The 26159-nt window shown below is 39.5% G+C and overlaps 1 protein-coding gene across 2 annotated transcripts in view; it reads left to right on the forward strand.

Moving 5' to 3' along the window:
* The window catches only part of THSD7B (thrombospondin type 1 domain containing 7B), a 912174-nt gene that overhangs the window by 326259 nt on the left and 559756 nt on the right, over positions 1-26159 (forward strand). For both annotated transcript variants that reach the window (NM_001316349.2, XM_047445935.1), the window contains exons 4-5: positions 3070-3318; positions 23321-23490. In NM_001316349.2, the coding sequence (NP_001303278.1) occupies positions 3070-3318; positions 23321-23490 (419 nt within the window). The remainder of the gene's footprint in view (positions 1-3069; positions 3319-23320; positions 23491-26159) is intronic.

Below are 26159 nucleotides of genomic sequence, written 5' to 3' on the forward strand. Positions count from 1 at the left end.
ACTTCAACATATTAATTTTAGAGCAATGAAACTCAGCCTATAACAATTTCTGAAAAGTCAAAACATGGAAACTTCTCGTCGACTTACAGCTTTCTGTTGTATTGCACAATAGAAAGAGGTTGTCCCCTCCCCCAGCCTCTGCTTTACTTGGCAACAGTGACATTACTTTCTGTATTAGATGAGACATTTTCAGGAAAGTTTCTGTCTAGTGGATTTTGATCCCAGGCCCCAAAATTGTCACATTGAATTGAACAGTAACAATGAGACACTGCGCTTTTCATTTTGAAAGGACTAATATTATCTAAATAGATTTTAAAAAAATAAAATATTGAGGCTGGGCTCGATCCTGGGCCAATCCTGGCACTTTGGGAGACCAAGTCAGGTGGATTGCTTGAACCCAGGAGCTCAAGACCAGCCTGGGCAACATGACAAAACCCTGTCTCTACAAAATATACAAAAATTAGACAGTTGTGGTGTTGTGCATCTGTAGTCCCAGCTACTCAGGAGACTGAGGTGGGAGGATCACCTGGGCCTGGGGAGGTTGAGGCTGCAATGAGCCCTGATTCCACTATTGCACCCAGCCTGAGTATCAGAGTGAGATCCTGTCTCAAAAAAATAAATAAAATAAAAATAAATAAAATAAAATATTGGACCAGAGGAAGATTTAGCTTTTCCTCTATGAACACATTAACTCTCAATGGCTTAATGGGGGGTATAAATATGGACATTTACTATCAATATGGCCAAATATGAGCATATTTTACTCTGTCTTCTATAAATGATCGCTCCCCCATTTATGTGTTTTCCCAAGTTAGAAATGAAACAATTTAAGACTTCTTCTTTTTTTGTTTTTTTGAGACTTTGCCCGTCACCCAGGCTGGAGTGCGGTGGTGCAGTCTCGGCTCACTATAGCCCCCTCCTCCCAGGTTCAAGCAACTCTCCTGCTTCAGCCTCCCAAGTAGCTAGGACTACAGGCACACACCACCACCATGCCTTGCTAATTTTTGTATTTTTAGTAGAGACAAGGTTTCATCGTGTTGGCCAGGCTGGTCTCGAACTCCTGACCTCAGGTGATCTGCCTGCCTTGGCCTCCCAAAGTGTTGGGATTATAGGCGTAAGCCACTACACCTGCTCCCCCTCCCCTTTTTTAAACCACATTCAGAGGAACCATTACCAAAATCTCTCTGTCAGTATTTGAACATTGACCCTTTTTTTAGTTTACATTCTTCGAATATTATCCTTTTCCTCCCAAAGTATTGGTTGCCTTTGACTGAATAGAGGAACGAATAACAAGGGACAAAAGGAACAGAATGCCAATTAATATTTGAAATATTATCTCCTAATATGAATCTGATTTCCCTCCACTTGAAATCATTTAATGCCTAATTAAACAAATTTCTTAACCTGTGACAGGAAGCCCTTCCAGAGCAGCTTTCGAAGAACCCTTGTACCTTGTATCTACGTTCCTCCTCGCACTTTATGCTTCAGGAGAACAAATGGGCTCCTACGTTTCCCCAGTGGTGTGCTTACAAATGTTTAACAATCAGTTCTCAGGAGTTTGGGAGAGGAGGCTTGATTTGTAGCATTTGCCAATTTCTGTATTGTAAATACTCTGACTTTGGCCAATTTAAAGTTTACAGGAGGTCAAGTGGTTTGCAAATTCCTGAAAATTTAACAATTGGCTCCTGTGAGCAGGTAGAGCTAGCTCCAGTATACCACTGGTTCCCATCCCCAAAAGGTATGATTTCAAATCTTTGAATATGCTATCGTTTTACTTTAGAATAGTGTTTTCTCTGTGCCTGAGAAGCTCCCATTAATCTTTTAAAAATGTAGCTCAGGTGTCCTCTCTGAGCACCCTTCTGCCTTACCGGGGGTTCATCACTGCCTCTTCAGTGTTTCTCATCATTACAAATGCTTTTATGTTGGGCTGGTCACATTATCACATTATCTTTTTTTTTAATTTTATTATTAGTATACTTTAAGTTTTAGGGTACATGTGCACAACGTGCAGGTTTGTTACATATGTATACATGTGCCATGCTGGTATGCTGTACCCATTAACTCGTCATTTAGCATTAGGTATATCTCCTAATGCCACATTATCTTATCTTTTTATTTATTTACCTTTTTCCTAATTAGACTGTTGGTGCTTGATCACACACACATTTTGCCTATCAGGAAATTAATGCTCAGAGCCTAACAATATGAGGAAATATAATGGCACATTTTCAAAATTACCCAGTATTTACCACAATGGATAGGTGAATATTCTAGTTTATATTTACCTTTTTGATACTGTACAAATTACTTAGCCTTTCTGAGCCTAAATTTCTTTATCTATCTACAAAATGGATATAATAAAATGTAAACTCATGAGCTTGTTGTGAGAAAGTTATCTGTGAAGTGCAGCACAGTTGTGACACCTGAAAACCAGTCAATCCATGGTAATAGTAGGCTAACACCATGGGTGAAAGCAGTCTAGAAGGGCTGGGCGCGATGGCTCATGCCTGTAGTCCCAGTACTTTGGGAGGCCAAGGTGGGTGGATCACTTGAGGTCAGGATTTCAAGACCAGCTTGTCCAACATGGTAAAACCCTGTCTCTACTGAAAATACAAAAATTAGCTGGGCATGGTGGTGTGTTTCTGTAGTCTCAGCTACTTGGGAAGAGGCTGAGGCAGGAGAGTTGCTTGAATCTGGGAGGCAGAGGTTGCATCACTGCACTTCAGCCTGGGTGACAGAGCAAGACTCCATCTCTAAAAAAAAAAAACACAGCAGCCTAGAAGGACCCCCATTATTTCTAATAATACGGATAATACTGTTAAAAGTGGACCCATCTTAGATGTGTATCTTGCTAGAGTGAAGCAGCTTCACTGTTTCAGAAGAAATAAACATTCTTCAAATGTTACACTCTTCAATATTTTTTCATGATGTCTCTAAAATTTTTTAAAAATCTTCCTATTAAACGCTTAAATCAAATTTCAGAGTTTTTTTTCTCATGGTAGGCACTTTATAATGTTAGTTGCATCCATTAATATATGGCCTCCTATTTTCTACTTCTGTTTTTTTCAGCCTTTGCCTTCAAGATTCCTTCCCATTGACTGTTCAGTCCTGCATCATGCCCAAAGACTGTGAAACCTCCCAGTGGTCCTCCTGGAGCCCCTGCTCCAAGACATGCCGTTCAGGGAGTCTCTTGCCAGGATTTAGGAGCAGGAGCCGGAACGTGAAGCACATGGCTATTGGAGGTGGAAAGGAGTGTCCTGAACTTCTTGAGAAAGAGGCCTGCATTGTTGAAGGAGAACTTCTGCAGCAATGTCCCAGGTATTACGCCTTTATGCCTTCTTTAGTGTGAAGGAGGCATAATTTAATGTTGTAGGAATGTTAACAGTAATGAAAGTAGCTGTGACTCATATTTATTGAGTCTTCACTCAGTATACAAGTTCCATACTTGGCAGCATAGGAGAGCGGGTTAAGATCATGGGCTTTGGTGTTGACTCCCTTGGTTTAAGTCCTGTTTCTGTGACTTTCTAATTATACAAATTTCTTCAAGTACTTAATTAGAGTGCCTTAGTTTACCAGCAGTACTTAATTCATCCTGTGTTTGGCACATAGTAAATGCTCAGTAACCATTAGCTATTATTACCTGACACAACACACCTAATTCTCATAAAAACCTGAGAGGCCATTCATGGCATCTCCATTTTACAAATGAAGCTACTAATGTTCAGAGAGATTAAATGATTTCTGAAGTTATGTAGGTAAGGAGTGGCAGTACCCTGATTCTAACTCAGTTCCGTTTTCAAATCTTACTGCCGCTATGTGGTGTTCTTCAATTCCAGAGTCCCTAGGGAGCCAGAGAATATTCGAGAAAGGATTTAACATATATTAATAGCTACATTTTAACAGCATTTTTTTTGAGATAAAAACTCTTGTTGCCCAGGGTGGAGTGCAATGGTGTGATTATGGCTCACTTTAGCCTCCACCTCCTGGGCTCAAGAAATCCTCCCATCTCAGCCTCTCGAGTAGCTGGGACTATAGGCATGTGCTACAGTGTGTGCTACTATATATATTTTTTATTTTGTATAGAGATGGGGTCTCACTGTGTTGCCCAGGCTGGTCTCAAACTCCTGGGCTTAAGCGATACTCCCACCTCAGCTTCTCAAAGTGCTGGGATTGCAGGCTTGAGCCACCATGCTGTGCCTGGCCTACATTTTAACATCTTGATATTGGTTATACCTATCCAAAGACCTGGGTAAAGGCCTGCAGTATGTTTTCCTTTAGGTTGTTGGCTCACAGTGGGCCCAGTTTGATAACAGACAGAAATCTGTTAGGGATGAATTTGTGATATTTCCTGCTGAACAGCTGCCCTGAACTGTATCTGTTAAATCTGTAGCTATTCAAGATAGGCATTTTTCTTATAGTTTCTTGTAACTTCTATGACTAGAAACTCATTTCTGCAGCCAAAAATAAAGTAAGAAAAAAATAGTTTTCTGTATGAATTAGTGATTTGGTGATGTGTGAAGGGTATGGGTTACTGACCCAACAGGTTCTGGTGGTGGGCTGCAGCCTGGCTCTTCCTGAAACCTGATATGAGGTGTGCATTAGAAAGGCAGGTTTCTGTTGTCAAAACTCTTAGCCACTCACATCCCCACTTCCCAGTTGGAACTAGTGTTGATTGAACACAGTTCCTTATATTCTTATTGTTAATATTTTGCTAAAATGACCCCTTAGATTTGTATCATTCCTTATCTCAAATGCAGAAGATGGAGATGCAGTGCATGCCTTTTTACCACAAACTCTCAGCCTCACAGAACCCTTCCTCGTTGTGTTGTGTTGAGTCTCTGAAAACACTAATTTTGGAGTAAAACAGAAGCTTGAAAATGGCATAACTCTGAGATCTCTGTCCCTTTTAACATTGAAATACCTGGATTAAAATTGTATCTTCATCACTTACTAGCAGTATGATCTTGAACAAGCTATACAACTTTTCCAAGACATTTACTTTTTCAGTAGAATGCATCTGATAATACTGCCTGTGTGGCAGGCTAGAAAGGCTGAAGACCAGGCATGTGAAATGCCAGGCCCAGGGCTTAGCACATAGGTGGCGCTGCAAGAAGGATGACCACTATTGTTGCTATTTGCAGGTGTATTTGTTTCCTCCAGAAAGAGAGTATCTCTTTTCCTTAGCATACAATAATAATTTCATGAGGTAGAAACATATTTCTTCTAGATAATTGGGAAATCTTATTTCCCTTCAGAGGCTTACTTCAGAAGGCTTCTTAATGGTATACAGGCAGGAATAAAATCTGGGTTTCATGATGACCTTGACATTGATGCCTCTATCCTTCATTTTTTTTTTCATGGGATAGCTAATATTCTCTACCTGATACTTTCAAAATGTTTGTGATTTATAGGCAATCCTCCATTTTCTTTTTTAATAACAATTACAGTTCTCTTGGAAGTCAGAATGGTACCTTCCTGTCAATGCTAAGAAAACTGAACTACATCTATGTTTGTTAAACAATGCCTACCTTTTATCAAGTACCTACTGTTGGCCAATAATTATAGCAGAGTTATAAATTAACTAATTAAATATAAATAATATTTAGTGTGACATGGAACATTTTTGAGAGTGAAAGGGATGTAAATTGGCATTAAGATTCAAGCACAAATTTACTCAACTCTGAAGCCAGTATTCTTTCCATTATATCACACTGACTTTCATGATAGGCACAGTAAAGATATGCACTAAGATAAGGGTATACCTACTAATATACATGCATTTGTGTGCATCATATTTTTTTCAACAAGATAATGTGGAAAGAAATAATTCAGGATGTACCCAAGATGAGTTTCTGTATGGATCTTCATTTGATAGAACATTAGAGTCTGAAAATAGAGGCTGACAGACTTCACTGGTGATGATCCTGGCCCTCTAGTTCTACTGTTTGAAAATGCCGCTAAGTTTGACACACACACACACACACACACACACACACACACACACACCTTTAAAACGGTGAAGCTGTAGGAAATAGGAGTATTGGAGAATTAACTGAAATACCAATCAACCAGTGTTCCATAGGGAGAATAATGTAACTAATGATTCTACTTGGTTGTGGGAAGGAGAATACATAAGTAACAGCAACTAAACATCAGCTAACATTCTAATTTGTCTGAAATCTGGACTGTGGTCTCTACCATGGGAAAGCATAGAGGCTATGTACTAACATTTGCTTTTGGTTTTATATTAGTGATTAAAATTCATTGTTAACAAGGGAAAGGAAAATGAAAATCTATTAGGGAACAGAAATTCTCGTTTCCTTTCACAGAACTCATAAGCAAGTCATGTGCATCAAGCAAGTTAATTCACCTTATTTCTCTCCAAGAAGTAAATGCATGCCTATTTGATTCTTCATAGTGTTTTTAAAAAATCTTTTAGAATACCGTTTGACTTTTACCCTTCTGCTATCTTTGCTATTTGAGATGTGTTTGTTCCTTCAACAAATACACATTAAGCCCTTGCTATATGCCAAACACTATGTTAAGCATTTGAGATACCTCAGAGAACACAACAGACAAACTTCCCTCATGCCCTGGAACCTAAATTTTAGTGAAAATACACCAAATAAATAATATAAATGGTCCACTTGGTGGAAGAGCTATGGAAAAAATAAAACATCCAAGTAAGATAAAGCTAGAGGCTCTGGAATGCTGTGATGAGGGGTCAGCACAGGTGATGAAATTAAACAATGTCCCTAGAAAAGCATCATTTGAACAAGCAGGATTTGAGGAGGTAGGAAAATCAAAGAAGTAAATAAATTACTCAGGAAATTAGGGGAAAAATATTTCAAGAACAAGGTATAGGTAGAAAAGTGTTCTAGTCCTTGGATATTAATAAATCTTCAGTTGCATGGCTTTGGGGGATACTCTTCTCATTGCTCGACTGTCCAGCATTTTCACACTAAACACTATGAGTGACTGTCCCTAAGGCATGACTCCATGAAGGGAATTGTAACTAACAGGAGATCATTCGGGAAGCATTCCCTGGGGTTACCACACTACCAAGTAGTTGCTTCGGAGCAACTAATTTAACTTGAAAGGAGACAGAGACAGTTTATGTTATGCTATCTTGGGAAATTTTAGAACTACATGAAAATTAGCATTGTATAGCCTTAAGTTTGTTTCGAAGTTGTAGTTTTTGATTAAGGCATATATAGACCCCAGGAAACCTCTTCCTTCAGTCTATTTGTAATTTTATGGACCTCCCCAACCTCTAGTGTGTCATTAAACACTCACAGTGTATACTATGGGTAGGGAATGGACATGAGAGAGAGGATAAATTTGCTTGTCAGTTGCCACCTTGGCTCTTGGTGTGGTTGTCCCCTGTCACTGGGCATCATGATCTTGGATGTCATGTTATTCTATGTCCCCAAACATGATGAGATAGGAGTCATTTAGGATACCTTGGCACTTGGGCACTTTCCTTTGTCCTGACTAACATCTAAAATATTATATCCCAGATCTCAACTAAGGGGAAGGCAAAAAGCATTCTAACACTGCAGGATAAGGCAGTACTGTTTAGTAGATGGGGTAAAGAAAGACAAAGAACGTAGAGCTGTAATAGTGTAAATGCTTCATGTCAGAGAGCTGAGACACAGCCTGATTCTGGAACAGCTATGATTCCAGATCTCTTGCGCTTTAATAGAGAGGCCCATTCTGGTGAAAGACACTGTAACACATTTGAATATTGGAAAAACATCAGCTGCAAACATCTTTCTTAGAAGAGATACCTCAGATGACCTACCAGCAACTCCTACGACCCCACTGGGAGACAACAGTTTTCATATGAAAATGGCTGTTCTGTCTCTTAAATGATCATTTAGAGTATGGAATCGAATGTAAGACAGAACTATTAAATGGTGACAGTGACCAATACCAAGTAAAACTCTTAAGAAAATCTCAAGGCAGAAGCTGCACAGCTGAGAGTATTACCTAGTTTTTGTGATATTACTACACAGAAAAGCCAACGTGTAAAATATCGTTCCAATACTCTGGTCCGGCACTGAATAGATGCGCTCTTTTATTTCATCCTGCCTTGTTTCTGGTATGTATTAATTTATCCTTATTTTGCATGGACTAGAGATCCTTTAAAATAAGTCTGTTTGTGCAAATTTATGCTGAGAGATCTATCTGGGCACCCTGCACCCCACTTTGATTTGCTTGTGAAACAAACCCCTGAGACCAGCCTTGTTCTCCCTAACATCTTTTTGAGGCATTGTACCTAATTTTAGATTTTCTAGACATCCTTTTTTCTTGAGAAAACCCTGGGTATTAGTTGATGAATTTTTAGATAAATATTGAAGCCAGGGATAGTGCCAAGAAAAAGGATGGTAGATGAAATCTTGGCGTGGTTGTTCACCTCCTTTGCCTTTTGAAACAGAGTGCTGTGTTGTGAAGGGATGTTTGTTCAAAACCTGCTTTGGCCTGTCACCGTGTTAACCACTGGAGAACTCATAAAACAGAGAACTTCCAGTCTGTGTTCACTTAGGTTATTTGTCTTAAGAATCTTGTTTGATGTACTCTTTCAAAACTATTGGGTTGCTGCAAAAGTAATTGCAGTTTTTGCCGTGGAAAGCAATGGCAAAAACTGCAATTACTTTTGCACCAACCTTACAGATGGCCCAGAACACGACAATCGTGTCCTTTAAGAGTGCTTAATAGTAATGTCCCAACACATCATCTCATACATATGAATAGGACTATTTTGTTTGTTTGTTTCCTTTTCCTTAGAAAGAGTAGCACCTAGAAAAGTGCCTGGCTCGTAGTAAATGCTCACCAAACATTGAAGGAATAAATAAATGAAGGTTAAAATGTGGAGTAGCTCCAGAACAGTATTATACACTCGGCACTTTATTCCATGTTTACCTTTATTATATAGTAAGTATGACAGACTCAAAGGTATTTTAAAATAAAGAACAGCTGAAATTGGCATCATCAAGGTCAAAAAAGGACATCCACCCAGGACAAGATGGACCCAGGAAGCTTGCCACAGTTCCACAATCCTGCTGATGCTGCATCCAGCTTTCCAGAAAAAAAATCTGTCTGTCATTGGTTATGAGGGTTACTTCAAAAAAGGTGAGGAATGATATCATAGTCTGAATTTGTCCAAGTTTTCCTTCTAGCACACACATCACTTGTTACATCTTTTAAATCTTCTCCTATTAGTTTTCTTTTTGTTGTCATTTGTTTTGAAATGGACTCTCCCTCTGTCTCCCAGGCTGGAATGGAGTGGCGTGATCTCAGCTCACCACAACCTCTGCCTCCTGGGTTCTGAGGTGATTCTCCCACCTCAGCCTCCCAAGTAGCTGGGATTACAGGCATGTGCCACCATGCCTGGCTGATTATTGTATTTTTAGTAGGGACGAGGTTTCATCATGTTGTCCAGGCAGGCTAGTCTCAAACTCCTGATCTCAAGTGATCCACAGGCCTTTGCCTCCCAAAGTCCTGGGATTACAGGCGTGAGCCACCATGCCGGCCTTCCATTGATTTTCTATCACAGCACCGAACACTCTTCACATAGTAGGTATTTAATAAATGGTTGTCAGATAAATTAACAGATTCTCTAAGGAAGCTTTTCAAAAATTGTTTAAGAAGCTTTTCTGCAGCTATTTAGAAGTAGAGCTAGCAGGAGTTTATTTTCATATCCCAGTGGCACCTGGAACACCAGCGAGACAGAACCATTCACTCTCCTGGAAAGGGGGCTGAAGGCGGGGAGCCAAGTGGTCTAGCTCAGCGGATCCCACCCCTATGGAGCCCAGCAAGCTAAGATCCACTGGTTTGAAATTCTCGCTGCCAGCACAGCAGTCTGAAGTCGACCTGGGATGCTCAAGCTTGGTGGTGGGAGGGGTGTCCGCCATTACTGAGGCTTGAGTAGGTGGTTTTCCCCTCACAGTGTAAACAAAGCTGCTGGGAAGTTCAAACTGGGTGGAGTCCACCACCGCGCCACAAAGCTGCTGTAGCCAGACTGCCTGTCTAGATTTCTCCTCTTTGGGCAGGGCATCTCTGAAAGAAAGGCAGCAGCCCCAGTCAGGGGCTTATAGATAAAACTCCCATCTCCCTAGGACAGAGCACCTGGGGGAAGGCGCAGCTGCGGTCACAGCTTTAGCAGACTTAAACGTTCCTGCCTGCAGGCTCTGAAGAGAGCAGCTGACCTCCCAGCACAGCACTCAAGCTCTGCTAAGGGACAGACTGTCTCCTCAAGTGGGTCCCTGACCCCCATGCCTCCTGACTTGGAGACACCTCCCTGCAGGAGTTGACAGACACTTCATACAGGAGAGTTCCAACTGGCATCTGGTGGGTGCCCCTCTGGGGTGAAGCTTCCAGAGGAAGGAACAGGCAGCAATCTGCTGTTCTGCAGCCTCTGCTGGAGATACCCAGGCAAACAGAGCCTGAAGTGGACCTCCAGCAGACTCCAGCAGACCTGCAGCAGAGGGGCCTGACTGTTAGAAAAACTAACAAACAAAAAGGAATAGCATCAACATCAACAAAAAGGACATCCACACAAAAACCCCATCAGAAGTTCACCAACATCAAAGACCAAAGTTAGATAAATCCATGAAGATGAGGAAAAGCTAGTGCAAAAATGCTGAAAATTCCAAAAACCAGAATTCCTCTTCTCCTCCAACGGATCACAACTCCTCGCCAGCAGGGGAACAAAACTGGATGGAGAATGAGTTTGACGAATTGACAGAAGTAGGCTTCAGAAGATGGGTAATAACAAACTCCTCCCAGCTAAAGGAGCATGTTCTAACCCAATGCAAGGAAGCTAAGAACCTAAAAGTTTAAAGGAATCTCACTAACTAGAATAACCAGTTTAGAGAAGAATATAAATGACCTGATGGATCTGAAAAACACAGCATGAGAACTTCATGAAGCATACACAAGTATCAATAGCTGAATCGATCAAGGGGAAGAAAGGATATCAGAGATTGAAGATCAACTTAATGAAATAAAGCATGAAGACAAGATTAGAGAAAAAGCATGAAAAGGAAAGAACAAAGCCTCCAAGAACCATGGAACTATGTGGAAAGACCAAACCTACATTTGATTGGTGTATCTGAAAGTGACAGGGAGAATGGAACCAAGTTGGAAAACACTCTTCAGGATATTATCCAGAAGAACTTCCCCAACCTAACAAGACAGACCAACATTCAAATTCAGGAAATACAGAGAACACCACAAAAATACTCCTCAATAAGAGCAACCCCAAGACACAAAATCGTCGGATTCACCAAGGTTGAAATGAAGGAAAAAATGTTGAGGGCAGCCGGAGAGAAAGGTCTGGTTACCCACAAAGGGAAGCTGATCAGACGGAGAGTGGATCTTTCTTCAGAAACCCTACAAGCTAGAAGAGAGTGGGGGCCAATATTCAACATTTTTAAAAGAATTTTCAAGCCAGAATTTCATATCCAGCTAAACTAAGCTTCATAAGTGAGGGAGAAATAAAATCCTTTACAGACAAGCAAATGCTGAGAGATTTTGTCACAAACAGGCCTGCCTCACAAGAGCTCCTGAAGGAAGCACTAAATATGGAGACGAAAATCCAGTACCAGCCAATGCAAAAACATACCAAGTTGTAAAGACCATTGACACTATGAAGAAACTGCATCAACTAAAGGGCAAAATAACCAGCTAGCATCATAATGACAGGATCAAATTCATACATAACCGTATTAACCTTAAATGTAAATAGGCTAAATGCCCCAATTAAAAGACACAGACTGGCAAATTAGATAAAGAGTCAATACCCATCGGTGTGTTGTATTCAGGAGACCCATCTCACATACAGACACACATAGGCTGAAAATAAAGGGATGGAGGAATATTTACCAAGCAAATAGAAAGAAAAAAAAAAGAAGCAGGGGTTTCAATCCTAGTCTCTGATAAAACAGACTTTAAACCAACAAAGATAAAAAAAATCAAAGAAGGGCATTACGTAATGGTAAAGGGATAAACGCAACAAGACGAGCTAACTGTTGTAAATATATATGCACTTAACACAGGAGCATCCAGATTCATAAACCAAGTACTTAGAGACCTACAAAGAGACTTAGACTCCCACACAATAATAGTGGGAGACTTTAACACTCCACTGTCAATATTAGATCAACGAGACAGAAAATTAACAAGGATATTTAGGACTTGAACTCAGCTCTGAACCAAGTGGACCTAATAGACATCTACAGAACTCTCCACTCCAAATCAACAGAATATACATTCTTCTCAGCACCACATCACACTTATTCTAAAATTGACCATGCCATTGGAAGTAAAACACTCCTCAGCAAATGTAAAAGAACAGAAATAATAACAAACAGTCTCTCAGACCACAGTGCAATCAAATTAGAACTCAGGATAAGAAACTCTTTCAAAACCACACAAGTACATGGAAGCTGAACAACCTGCTCCAGAATGACTACTGGGTAAATAATGAAATTAAGGCTGAAATAAATAAGTTCTTTGAAACTAGTGAGAACAAAGACACAACATACCAGAATCTCTGGGACACAGCTAAAGCACTATTTAGAGGGAAATGTATAGCACTAAATGCAGACAGGAGAAAGTAGGAAAGATCTAAAACCGACACCATAAGTGTCGAACATCACAAGTAAAAAGAACATCACAAGTAAAAGAACTAGAGAAGCACTAGTAAACAAATTCAAAAGCTAACAGAAGACAAGAAATAACTAAGATCAGAGCAGAACTGAAGGAGATAGAGACACGAAAAGCCCTTCAAAAAAATCAATGAATCCAAGAGCTTGTTTTTTGAAAAGATTAACAAAATGATAGACGGCTAGCCAGACTAATAAAGAATAAAAGAGAGAAGAATCAAATAGACATAATAAAAAATGATAAAGGGGATATCACCACTGATCCCATAGAAATACAAACTACAACCAGAGAATACTATGAACATCTGTACGCAAATAAACTAAAAAATCTACAAGAAATGGATAAATTCCTGGACACTTACACCCTCCCAAGACTAAACCAGGAAGAAGTCAAATCCCTGAATAGACCAATGACAAGTTCTGAAATTGAGGCAATAATTAATAGCCTACCAACCAAAAAAATTGCAGGACCAAACGGATTCACAGCCGAATTCTACCAGAGGTTCAAAGAGGAGCTGGCACCATTCCTTCTGAAACTATTCCAAACAATAGAAAAAGAGGGAATCCTCCCTAACACATTTTATGAGGCCAGCATCATCCTGATACAAAAACCTGGCAGAGACACAACAACAACAAAAGAATTTCAGGCCAATATACCTGATATATTGATGTAAAAATCCTCAATAAAGTACTGGCAAATCGAATCCAGCAGCACAGCAAAAAGTTTATTCACCATGATCAAGTCAGCTTCATCCCAGGGATGCAAGGCGGATTCAACGTATGCAAATCAATAAACGTAATCCATCACATAAACAGAACCAATGACAAAAACCACATAATTATCTAGATAGACGCAGAAAAGCCCTTCAATAAAATTCAACACCCCTTCATGCTATAAACTCAATAAACTAGGTATTGATGGAACATATCTCAAAATAATAAGAGCTATTTATTACAAACCCACAGCCAATATCATACTGAACGAGCAAAAACTGGAAGCATTCCCTTTGAAAACCTGCACAAGACAAGGATCCCCTCTCTTACCACTCCTATTCAACATAATATTGGAAGTTCTGGCCAGGGCAATCAGGCAAGAGAAAGGAATGAAGGTATTCAAATAGGAAGAGAGGAAGTCAAATTGTCTCTGTTTGCAGATGACATGATTGTATATTTAGAAAACCCCATTGTCTCAGCCCAAAATCTCCTTAAGCTGATAAGCAACTTCAGCAGTCTCAGGATACAAAATCAATGTGCAAAAATCACAAGGATTCCTATAAATCAATAATAAACAGCCAAATCATGAGTGAACTCCCATTCACAGTTGCTACAAAGAGAGTAAAATACCTAGGAATACAACTTACAATGGATGTGAAGGACCTCTTCAAGGAGAACTACAAACCACTGCTCAAGGAAATAAGAGAGGACACAAACAAATGGAAAAACATTCCATGCTCCTGGATAGGAAGAATCAATATCATGAAAATGGCCATACTGCCCAAAGTAATTTATAGATTCAGTGCTATCCCCATCAAGGTACCATTGACTTTCTTCACAGAATTAGAAAAAACTACTTTAAATTTCATGTGGAACCAAAAATACCCCATATAGCCAAGAGATATCCCAAGCAAAAGGAACAAAGCTGGAGGAATCACGCTACCTGACTTCAAACTATACTACAAGGCTACAGTAACCAAAATAGCATGTTACTGGTACCAAAACAGATATATAGACCAATGGAGCAGAACACAGACCTCAGAAGTAATGCCACACATCTACAATCATCTGATCTTTGACAAACCTGACACAAACAAGCAATGGGGAAAGGATTCCCTGTTTAATAAATGGTGTTGGGAAAACTGGCTAGCCATATGCAGAAAACTGAAACTGGACCCCTTCCTTACACCTTATACAAAAATTAACTCAAGATGGATTAAAGACTTAAACATAAGACCTAAAACTATAACACCCTGGAAGAAAACCTAGGCGATAGCATTCGGGACATAGGCATGAGCAAAGACTTCATGACTAAAACACCAAAAGCAATGGCAGCAAAAGCCAAAATTGACAAATGGGATGTAGTTAAGCTGAAGAGCTTCTGCACAACAAAAGAAACTATCATTAGAGTGAACAGGAAACCTACAGAATGGGAGAAAATTTTTCTATCTATCCATTTGACAAAGGACTAATATATAGAATCTACAAGGAACTTAAACAAATTTACAGGAAGAAAACAACCCCATTAAAAAGTGGTCAAAGGATATGAACAGACATTTCTCAAAAGAAGACATTTATGCGGCCAACAAACATATGAGCAAAAGCTCATCGTCACTGGTCATTAGAGAAATGCAAATGAAAACCACAATGAGATACCATCTCATACCAGTTAGAATGGTGATCGATTAAAAGTCAGGAAACAACAGATGCTGGAGAGGATGTGGAGAAATAGGAATGCTTTTACACTGTTGGTAGGAGTGTAAATTAGCTAAACCATTGTGGAAGTCAGTGTGGTGATTCCTCAAGGATCTAGAACAGGAAATACCATTTGACCCAGCAATCCCATTACTGGGTATATACCCTAAGGATTATAAATCATTCTACTATAAAGGCACAGGCACACATGTGTTTATTGCAGCACATTCACAATAACAAAGGCTTGGAACCAACCCAAATGCCCATCAATAGGCCGAATAAACAAAATGTAGCACATATACAACATGGAATACTATGCAGCCATAAAAAAGGATGAGTTCATGTCCTTTGCAGGGACTTGGACAAAGCTAGAAACCATCATTCTCAGCAAACTAACACAGGAACAGAAAACCAAACACTGCATGTTCTCACTCAAAGTGGGAGTTGAACATTGAGAACACATGGACACAGGGAGGAGAAGGTCACACACTGGGGCCTGTCATGGGGTGGAGGGCTAAGGGAGGGATAGCATTAGGAGAAATACGTAACGTAGATGATGGGTTGACAGGTGCAGCAAACCACCACGGCACGTGTATCCCTATGTAACAAACCTGCACGTTCTGCACATGTATCCCAGAATTTGAAGTATACCACTAATAACAAAAGTAGAGGAGTCGTGACCTGGATTCTCCAGGTACTGTTTTAGAAAAGAAACAATAGATTTCAAAGAATCTGGAATTGTTTCAATAGAAGACTCTTGCTTTTTTATTGCATTTGTCTATTACTGAGGTATTATTTCACGAGTCCCTATTGTGCCACTTAAAGACCTCCTGGATGGAAGATTTGCTCCCCAGTTAGTGTAAGAAAGTTAACGTACTGCTAAGTGCTGTATATGGCGATAGAAGTCTATTAATAATACATGTGTGGAGTTTGGCTGGCAAAGTCATTTGCACTTCACAGTAGCTTTCCGTAATCAATAGTCCCACTTTATCCAATAAAAAATTACTGGAGCATAAAATGTATAAAGCTTGATCAGTTCTCTTTATTTTAGTCATCTGTTCAGCAAAAAATGACAAGTTAATTCTTTTCTAAATGCATTTACATCTTTAAAAGGACAACAGACATTATCATAAATTAGTCATGCTGCAGTACACTGATTTTTAATATACACATGCATTTAATTTGAATACCTTGCACTAGGGTTTCAATTCCAAGAATGTTTGCAAATCTATATGTGCTCAGTCAAAACATGACCATTAACTAATGCAATTATTCTTTCAATCTGTCATCATTAAATCACTTAAAATTCTATTTTGTGTTGTTCTGCTTTAAATCTAAGCTTTTAGAAGAAGGAGCAAAGAAACCCACACTTTTAAGCAATTCCAAGCCTTTATGAAAGTGATAAAGTTTAGATTTCAAAGGACAGAGGTTGCTGTCTGGCTGTGATGGTCCTGGTTCTATTTTAAGAATAGTTTCTTAAATGTGCCTACTTTTCTAATTTTGGCTTTGCTAATTTAGGATGCCTCTACTTATTGCTTCACAGCTATAAATGCCTTCCTTCTTTTGTCCCCCTTTCCTCCCTCAATTTAGAAAATATTTTAATTATGTGATTCCTTCGGTGGGACAGCATCACTATCAGGAAGTCAAGCCAGCCACTTGAGTTGTTTAATTCTAACTACGGTCTAGACTCAGCTTCTCTAATCCAAAGTTTGTGTCCTGTATCTCTTTATGAGGACGTGTATTTCCACAGTTACAGGAGGGTCCTTTCTTTGATTAATTTTGATTTGTCATTTTAAGCTGCATCTACCTTTTGAGAATGATAACATATTAAATCTTAACTGTTTCTACTCATGCAGATACACTCGTGAACCATTTCCTGAGTAGACTTAAATTATAAACTAAACATAGAGAAATTGGGCAATGAGTATCAGGCATGGGGGGATAAAAGTTCAGAAGACAGATGGTAGGAGGTAAATGAAGAAAAATGAAATTTCACAGCTATAATACGTGGTGTCCTTAATATTTGTGATTTTGTTCCCTTTCCTGAGCTGACTTACCTAAGAATTCAGTGCCAGGAAATTTTGCTGCTAATACGTGGGTCAAAAACAAATTTGGAATCATCCATCACTACTCTCTCTCATTCCAGGTCTAATCCATTAGAAGGTTGTCTCCACCTTCAAAATATATCCCGAATCTAATCTCTTTGCCCTACATTCACTATGACTGCTGCAGTGGAACCCACCATCCTTTCTCCTAGACTGGCAAAGACCTTTAAATGTATAATTTCTTCCACCTCCCTGGCTCCCACAGCCTATTACTTCCCTCAGTAGCCAGGTGTTCCTTAAAAAATTAAAATCACATCATCATGTTACCATTCTTCCCAAAATTGTCCAACGATTTTCCAGCATATTTGGAATAACACTCACAATCTATCCTCTGGCCCAGTGTTCAAGCTTTCTGGTACCAGTGACCAGTTTTGTGGAAGATAATTTTTCCATGAACTTGGAAAGGGGGATGGTTTCAGGATGATTCAAGTGCATTACTTTTATTTATTTTGCATGTTATTTCTATCATTATCACATTATAATGAAATAATTATACAACTCACCATAATGTAAAATCAGTAGGAGCGCTGAGCTTGTTTTCCTGCAACTAGACAGTCCCATCTGGGGGTGGTGATGGGAGGCAGTGATGGATCATCAGGCATGAGATTCTCATAAGGAGCGCGCAACCTAGATCCCTCTCTTGTGCAGTTCACAATAGGGTTTGCACTCCTGTGAGAATCTAATGCTGCTGCTGATCTAACAGGAGGCAGAGCTCGGTGGCAATGTGAGTGATGGGGAGTGGCTGTAAATACAGATGAAGCTTCACTTGCTCACCTGCTGCTCACCTCCTGCTGTGAGACCTGGTTCCTAACAGGCCGCTGACCAGTACTGGTCTGTGGCTCGGGTGTTAGGGACCCCTGCTCTGGCCTATGAGGTTCCACATAACGTGGCTCTTGACTACTCTTTATATCCTGTCTCTACTATTCTCCCCTTGACCCACCTGTCTTAACCACACTGGCTTCTGTGCTATTTCTAGATGGTGCTGGGCACTCTGCCTCCCTGGGGACTTTGGACAGGCTGCCCTTTTCTCTGCCCAGAACACCACTTGCCCAACATCCTTATGCTCACTCCCTCATTTTATTCAGGACTCTGAGGATTTCCCTCGTCATGGCACTGAAATATCTCTCCTCGTCCATCTCTCTCTCCCCACCTGGTAACTGGTGCCATGCCATGTATTGATGCATTTATGTCTGTCTATCCCACCAGAAGGTAATCTTCCCAAGGTCAGGGGCTTTCTGTCTCTCACTGCTGTGTCTCTGTTGTCCTCGGTGCTTAGCTGTGGCTCAACAATTACTTGTTGAAAGAAAGGATAAGTGAATGCATGGATGAGTAAGTGATTCACTTACTGTTTGGACAGGCCTATTTCTTTGTCTAGTCAACCTGCTTTTTAGCACTTTTCAGGCTTCAGTCTTCCATCCATGTCTTTATCTTAACTGAAATGTTCTTGTAGGAGTTATTCTTCCTGTGCATCCAGTATTTGAGTTATTAGCATTCCCTTTCTCAGAGGTTTGGGGTTCAAAATGGCTGACAATGTGCTCTCTCACTCAAAGTAGGGACATCAGAGCTGTTTTTACATAAATGGAGGGCAGGTTTCTCTAACATTTAGAATGAGCAGGGAGCAATGTTGGGAATTTGATTTTGGGGCCTTGAAAAGACATTCTTTTTCAAAAAGTTATCTTTTGCATCTTTTAGTGGGAATTTGAATTTACACAATTAGAGATTCCTTTACTTATGTTTTATTTCTCTTTTAACTTGCAATTACAGCCATGCACTCCATAACATTTCTGTCAGTGGTGGGCCATGGACTGCATATACGATGGTCCCATAAGATTGTAATACTTTATTTTTACTGTACCTTGTTTATGTTAGACATGTTTAGATACACAAATACTTGCCATTGTGTTATAGGTGCCCACAGTATTTGGTAAATTGACATGCTGTACAGGTTTCCAGCCTAGGAGCAATATATACCATATAGCCTAGGTATGTAGTAGGCTACACCATCTAGGTTTGTGTAAGTGCACTCTATGATGTTTGCAAAAGGATGAAATTGCCTAGTGACACATTTCTCCATAACATATCTCTGTCATCAAGTGAGACATGACTATCTCCTGAAAGAGCTGAAATGCATCCCTAGGTGACCACAGGGCTCTCATTATAAAATGATTATCATATATTCTCGAACTGTACTTGTATTTGAGATTAGAAGAGAAGTTATTTTGGCAGTGTGAAATATTATTGGTCAGCAGATTATATTTTTGTCTACACCCAGAACACACTTCCTCGGACCAAGATCAACATTCACTTGTCCTTGTAATGGCTAGACAGGTAGCTACCCATTGTCTACTGAAGTTGCATTCTGTACTACTTGATTGAGCTTTCTGGACTATCTGATTGAGTAAATGGGTTTGCCATTTACCGTTTTAATCTGCCATAGTGTCATTTTATTATGAAGATATGCTTTAGAATCAGGTAAACCTTGCTTTGAACCCTGCTTTCACTCATGTGACCTTGGAAGAGTTACTTACTCTTTATGCCAATTCTGCCATCTGTAAAAGGAGAAATAAGATTTTCTTCATAGGGTTGCTGGGAGGATTAAATGAAGTAATGCCCCTAAGTTCATTAGTGCGGTGCCTGGTATACAGTAAGCAGGCAGAAAATACTGTTATTTGTACTACTTGGAGGATCTGCCCTGATACCCTAGTAGTCCAAACAAATTAATGCCTTGTTTATTCTGTTTAGCCAGACACTTTGAAAAAAGCACACTGATTCACACTCTCACGTTGGTAAGGGGCTATGGAAACTGACATTTCTTTCATTCCATGGCCATTTACTCTACTTGAGGCATTTCCATAGCCAATTTCGAAGTTTCATCTCAGAGGAGGTAGGACGCCGGCCTTTGCAACTCCCCACATTCCCTTTTAACCAAGAGGGCCAAATGAGGCTGCTTTGAAAGGCATCAGAGTTGGGAGATGGGAGGTTGAAAAGGTCTGGTCTTTGACATGGGCTTAGCCATTAAAGAGAGTGTTCCAGGCATCAGAAAGCTGAGTTTTCTGGAGCCTGGAGGACTATCGCTGTAACAACTTCTAAAGGAGAAAGGGAGTAACGTTTAGCTGAGTGGGCTCCTTTGATTTGTTATTCTGTCAGATCCTAGCGACACTTTCTCTGGTTGGAGCAGCTCAGGATGTTCAGTTTTCATGGCTGCCGGGATGATTTGTGACTAAACGTAGATAGGGCTTTTGAAAAAAATAAAGAAAAAAGGTTGAGCAAAGACTATGAAAAGACCCATATTTTTAAAAAAAGGAATATAGAAGTAGTTTATTGGTGTGGTTTTTCCTCTCCCTCTTGCTAGGTTGATATTTTCTCTGAGGTGGTAAAAAAAAAATAGCAATAGTGATAAATGTCTTCTCTAAAGGATTTATCATTTGCCAGTGAATGGAACTTGGGTGTTTTTGGTTAATGAGCTACCAACAAGTTTTTTGTTACTTTATATACAGATATAGTCATTAAACTCTTGTTTTCATTTTCCTTCATAATAACTTCCCAAATTTCTCCATTGCTATTTCTTGTAGGGTCATGTTAAATTAATTGTAAAAGCAATTTATACAGAATGCCCCATTCCTTTCAAACAAGCAAAAAATAACTATAATCTAAACTTTATGTTTCTTTTTTGCTCTTTGTTGAACTGCTGTTGCTGGAACTTAGACCATGGCAACTGTGGATCTCTAATATTAAGACTTTTGATGAAATCAATGAAATCCTCATAAATAAAATGTTAATGTACGTGTGTGTGTGTGTGTGTGTGTTTTCCACATCAGCAATGGGCAAAAGGCACATGTAGAAGGATGCAAGAAGAAAGGGAATGGACACTTATTGAATATTTATTATATGTCAGGCTCAATGATTGGTATTATTATCTCCCTTGTACAGGTAGGAAAACAAAATTGGACCCAAGTCACTAACCAGAAAGCGGTGAAATTCTGATTCAAACCAAGTTGGTTGGACTCCAAAGCATACTTGTCATCTGTACCACACTACCCTCTTTTTGCGTGTCTTCTTTGTTAATGATATCATAGAAGTCTCTGAGTCAGTGGCTGTATCTGACCCCCTTGTTCAGGCCAGAAAGTTCTTCTTTTGGGGAATCCTTGGAGGAAGAGGGTTTGAAATGAGATCTTGGTAATCATCCACCCCAACATTCTCATACCCCATTTCATTTTGCCCTGGATGAAAGATCTATCTGTGCCCTGAAACTGGAAATCTGAAAAACAAGGCTTCTGCTGAGGTGGCCCTGAAGAATAGGGTAAGGACTGACTCTGTGAGGAGAAAGGGTTTCAGAGCCCTGGCTCTGGAAAAGAACTATCCCTGTGAAGAAATGAACTTCTCTTTATTTCTCATACCCAGGAATTAGAAATATATTGTTTTGTGGGGTTTTTGTGTGTGTGTTTTTTTTGTTTGTTTGTTTTTTCTTTCGGAGTTTTGCTCTCGTTGCCCAGGCTGGAGTGCAATGGTGCAATCTTGGCTCACCGCACCCTCCGCCTCCTGGGTTCAAGTGATTCTCCCGTCTCAGCCTCCCGAGTAGCTGGGATTACAGGCATGTGCCACCACATCCGGCTAATTTGGGATTTTTAGTAGAGATGGGGGTTTCTCCATGTTGGCCAGGCTGGTCTCGAACTCCTGACCTCAGGTGATCCGCCCACCTCAGCCTCTCAAAGTGCTGGGATTACAGGCATGAGCCACTGTGCCCGGCCAGAAATATATTGTTATTTATATTCACCTAGGATAGGAAGGACCTGAAGTCTGCACTCCAAACTCTTGTCTGCCTGAGTGACTAATTCATAAGCCTAGGGAAAAAAAAAGTGAAAATTAAGTAGTGAGGCTGAGGGAGAAAAACTCATGTTACAACAAATCCCAGAGGACTGTCCAAATCCTTTTTCTATGGTGGGCTTTTCACAAGACTAATGATTCTCAGCTGATTCTTAGCTTTCAGGCTTTTTAGAATGATGACATTCATTGTTAGGGATTTGTCACTATGAGGTTTCTTGGAGATTTGCTTTCTTATTTTGACATCTGTTACTTGATTTCAATTTTACTCTAGTTTTTGTAAAGCCAGGATCTTGGTGACATATGATTACTTTTATGGCTGGTTTTTCCTCTTTTTTCTTTTAAACAATCACAAAACTGATAAATTTTTCTTTAAATATGAAATGGGACAGCAGATATGTCAATGTTACTTAGGCTTTGTTTATTGTTCAGAATTTAATGAGTCTCTCAGTGTTTTTACGAATGCCGCAAGGTTATACTACTGCTGTGGGCTTAAAGAATACGGTAATAATCCACAAAAGGAAATTCTGCCTAAAATAATTCTCTAGGTATGAATGTAGTAGTGTGATAGTTGTTTTGTTTTCTGTACATTGTATACAAACTCCATTGTGTTTTCCCCCTTATTTGTGGGGATGTATGTGTGTATTTGAGTATTAACCAGTTATAAACTAGGGAGACATATTTCTATATCAGTTTATATAACAGTATGGCTGCATATGTAAAAAAGTATTAATCAGTTATATATAGTGGCACGGTATTAACTCATTTTTAATACATATACTTTTATGTGAATGACATGAAGTCAAATGAGTAAAGAGTTTCTTACATCAAGAAGACTGAAAAGTTGGAGATAGCTGTATGTAAAATAATATATTTACGACTTTACACATTCACACACTGTCCTATTAAGAAAGAAAAGCCAACTTTCACACAAAGTCATCTGAAAGTCTGTGGAGTGAAATCCCATGACAAGTTCAGCTATCAAGAATTAGGCTCATTCGGTTTCCAACTCCTCTCTCTATTCCCTCACTCTCTTCCAGCTTCAAGGCTGAGACACACTCACTGTTTATCCATATCACGTTCCTTTAGTCCAGTCATCTTGTGCTATTGTCATGATGGGCTGCTGGATGTTTTTTTTTTCTAGGAAATAAAAGGGATTTAGTAATTCAAAGCTAGTATACTTCTTTATCCACAGGCAAAGATTTGGCCCTAGAAAGAGAGATTATGCCTCTTGATGTCATGACTTAAGTTTTCCTCAGAGTTGTATATTTTTCTTACTTCTTCTTCTTCTTTTAAATAAACCAAACCAAACAGGTATTCCTGGAGAACTTCTGAATGGAAAGAATGCCAAGTCTCTCTCCTCCTCGAGCAGCAGGATCCCCACTGGCATGTGACGGGACCCGTGTGTGGCGGTGGGATCCAGACCCGGGAGGTGTACTGTGCCCAGAGCGTACCAGCAGCTGCCGCACTGAGGGCCAAGGAAGGTAGGCAGCCAGTTCCGGGACAGATGGTGCACTGCTGGTTGGAAGGAAAATCTCTCCAACTCTCCAAGTATTCTTCTTGAAATAAGTGACACTTAGCATTCACACATTTAATATTTATTTTGTTGACCATTTGTATGCCGCCCCTAAGTTCTTCCACTTGTAACACTTGGGATAGTTAAAAATAGTAGCAAAAATAATATGTCTCCCAAGAGTCACTGTGAAAGTTAAAGGAGAAAATGTAGTTAGGGTGTGTAGCATAGATAAATGCTACAAGCTAAGGGTCTGGTATGCCAGGAATGAATCAGTAATGAATGAATGGCATTCTTTTTTGTTTTTTAATTTTTTGCTCAAAGGAATTTTTATGTGTGTGAATTTTTGAATGTGGAAATTTCTGCAAACATATTCCTTTCAAATGTCAAGGATCCAGGGTTTTGTCGCCAAGTTTTAATTTTTCTGAAGAAAAAGAAGGAAGAGGAGAAAACCATAGCTTTCTCCATAATAAGCTCTCTAATTGGTGGGTGTAACCCAGCAATAGTGTGTTTGTTTCAGAGTGTGGATAGTGATAATATTTAGAGACTGGGAAACTTGCTCAGATTTATGTAAGTCAATGGGTTGAGAAGTCATGAGTAGACAAGGAAGCTTCCACTCTAGAAGAATTTGTGACCTGTTCTAACCACATTGGAGAACCCAAGCAGTACTCCCTGCAGAAGTGGTAAAGGTGGGAATGTTTCCTTGGGCTTGCCAGGTACGAGGACATATTTCCACTGTGGGCTTTGGTTAGGAAGGCAAGATGCAAATTTTCTTGCTATGGTAATGCATCCATTCAATTCTGTAAAGCTTGTCATGCTAGATGTCTTTGTGTGACATAGCTTTGCAGAGTTCATAGGCATCTGTGACCATAGCCTCAGATAAGGTACCTGATGGGATGGTTCTTACAGACTGCTTAGCATTTTGCTTCAACAACTGGTGCTAAAAGGCCACATTGACAGGGCTACAGCTGTTTTTGAAAATAATGATTGAATTTTCTTCCTTCTCTAATTTCACTTTGGAAAATTATAGCTTAAACACTTTTTATTTCAGGACAAAACATGACTATAGTTACTCCTCTGAATTTGTAGAAACAGAATTTAGATTAAAAGGCTCCAGGTTAGTTTTTCAAACCTTGGTGATCTTTCCATTCCAGCTCCTCTCTTCTTTTCTTTGACTACTGTCTACTGTTGGAGGGTCTTCAGGGATCAACATATAAATAAAACTTGTATAGAATTGATGCATTATGACCTACCTATTTTTCAGCTTCAACTTTTAATCTGCTATTGACATTTTCATCTTTCTAAACTTTCTTTTGTAAAAATAGCTTTTCTTATGGATCATCTATTCCTAAAGTTTCTTCAGGCTTAGTCTTTCTAGCTTTTTGAATGGAAACTTACTGGGCAGGAAGATTATAATTAGCAGGAAAGTGGAAGTCTGGTGTTCTAGAATTGGGAATTAGATGCTTACATAGTGTGGGGGTACGGGTGGAATAGAGAAGGGGTGTTAATTGCAGAGTGAGCAATCTATCAAGCCCGAGTACAATCTACTCCAAGCATCTAAAGAGGAGGAAAATGTCTTAGGCCAAAGCACACTTGGAAATTAATATCTGTGTTCACAGGAAAACAGAAAGTACTTAGAAAGCTGTAAGTCTGATAGTCCAGTTCTCAGGGGGAAAGGCTGGATGTGGGACCTGGATGTAAATACATAGATGTGTAACACGACTGTATACTCCTGTACAGAGCTGAATATAGTGAGTAAAACTATGCTGGATAACACAGCACAGCTGCCATAAAGGCACTGTATACAGCTTACTGCTTACCTTAGTAGTTGTTATCAAAGGTTTTATTTTGCTCTTGTGTGGAAGTGAACCAGCGGGGTTGTTCGCCCATTACTTTCCTTTCTTATAAATGCTTTCACTTCTTACTGTTATCATTTATAGATGTACCTTGACAAATCTGGAATGAGAATTTCTTCTTGGCCCCCATTAAACACAGAGGAACAATTGAATTTTTATTGTTAGGAACCTGTGAGTATTTGCCCAGTGAAGTAAGCAGAATATAAATATTTTTTATCTGTCAATGCAATAATAAAGGCCAAAATTGGATACATTTTTAGCATTTCAGTTTCTGTGAACATCAAATTATTAATATTATTGTTGTTATGTTAGATATTCATACTTTGGAGGGAGAAAGCATTTTAGTAGTATTGACTTTGGAAATTCCTTTGTGAGTCACTATTGACATCCCCACAAGGTTAATCTTCCCCTAGACTCAAGGATACTCTCTCTCTGTTCACTCTGGAGTGTGATTGTGATTGCTTAACTTTTCTTCCATACAAAACCCCATCATCCACTGGTGATTTAGCAGCTCTGATTCCAAGCACCTGATTTTAGAGGAATTTACAATCTTGGGGGGGAAAAACAGACTTCATTTCCATGGATCCTTCTTGTAACAGAATGCATATAATTTCTAGATGCCATAATAATAATAATTTTAAAAAATGCTAATTCCCTCCCAAAGGTCTCCAGATCTCTTGGCCTAGGCTGGATGCTGAAGCTAAATCCTGACATTGATATGGTCCTGTTGATGACTTATTTTTGGTGATGTCTCATTCCTCACTGAACCTCAATTCAGGATGTT

Source organism: Homo sapiens, chromosome 2 (genome assembly GCF_000001405.40).
Source record: "Homo sapiens chromosome 2, GRCh38.p14 Primary Assembly".
Taxonomy (NCBI): domain Eukaryota; kingdom Metazoa; phylum Chordata; class Mammalia; order Primates; family Hominidae; genus Homo; species Homo sapiens.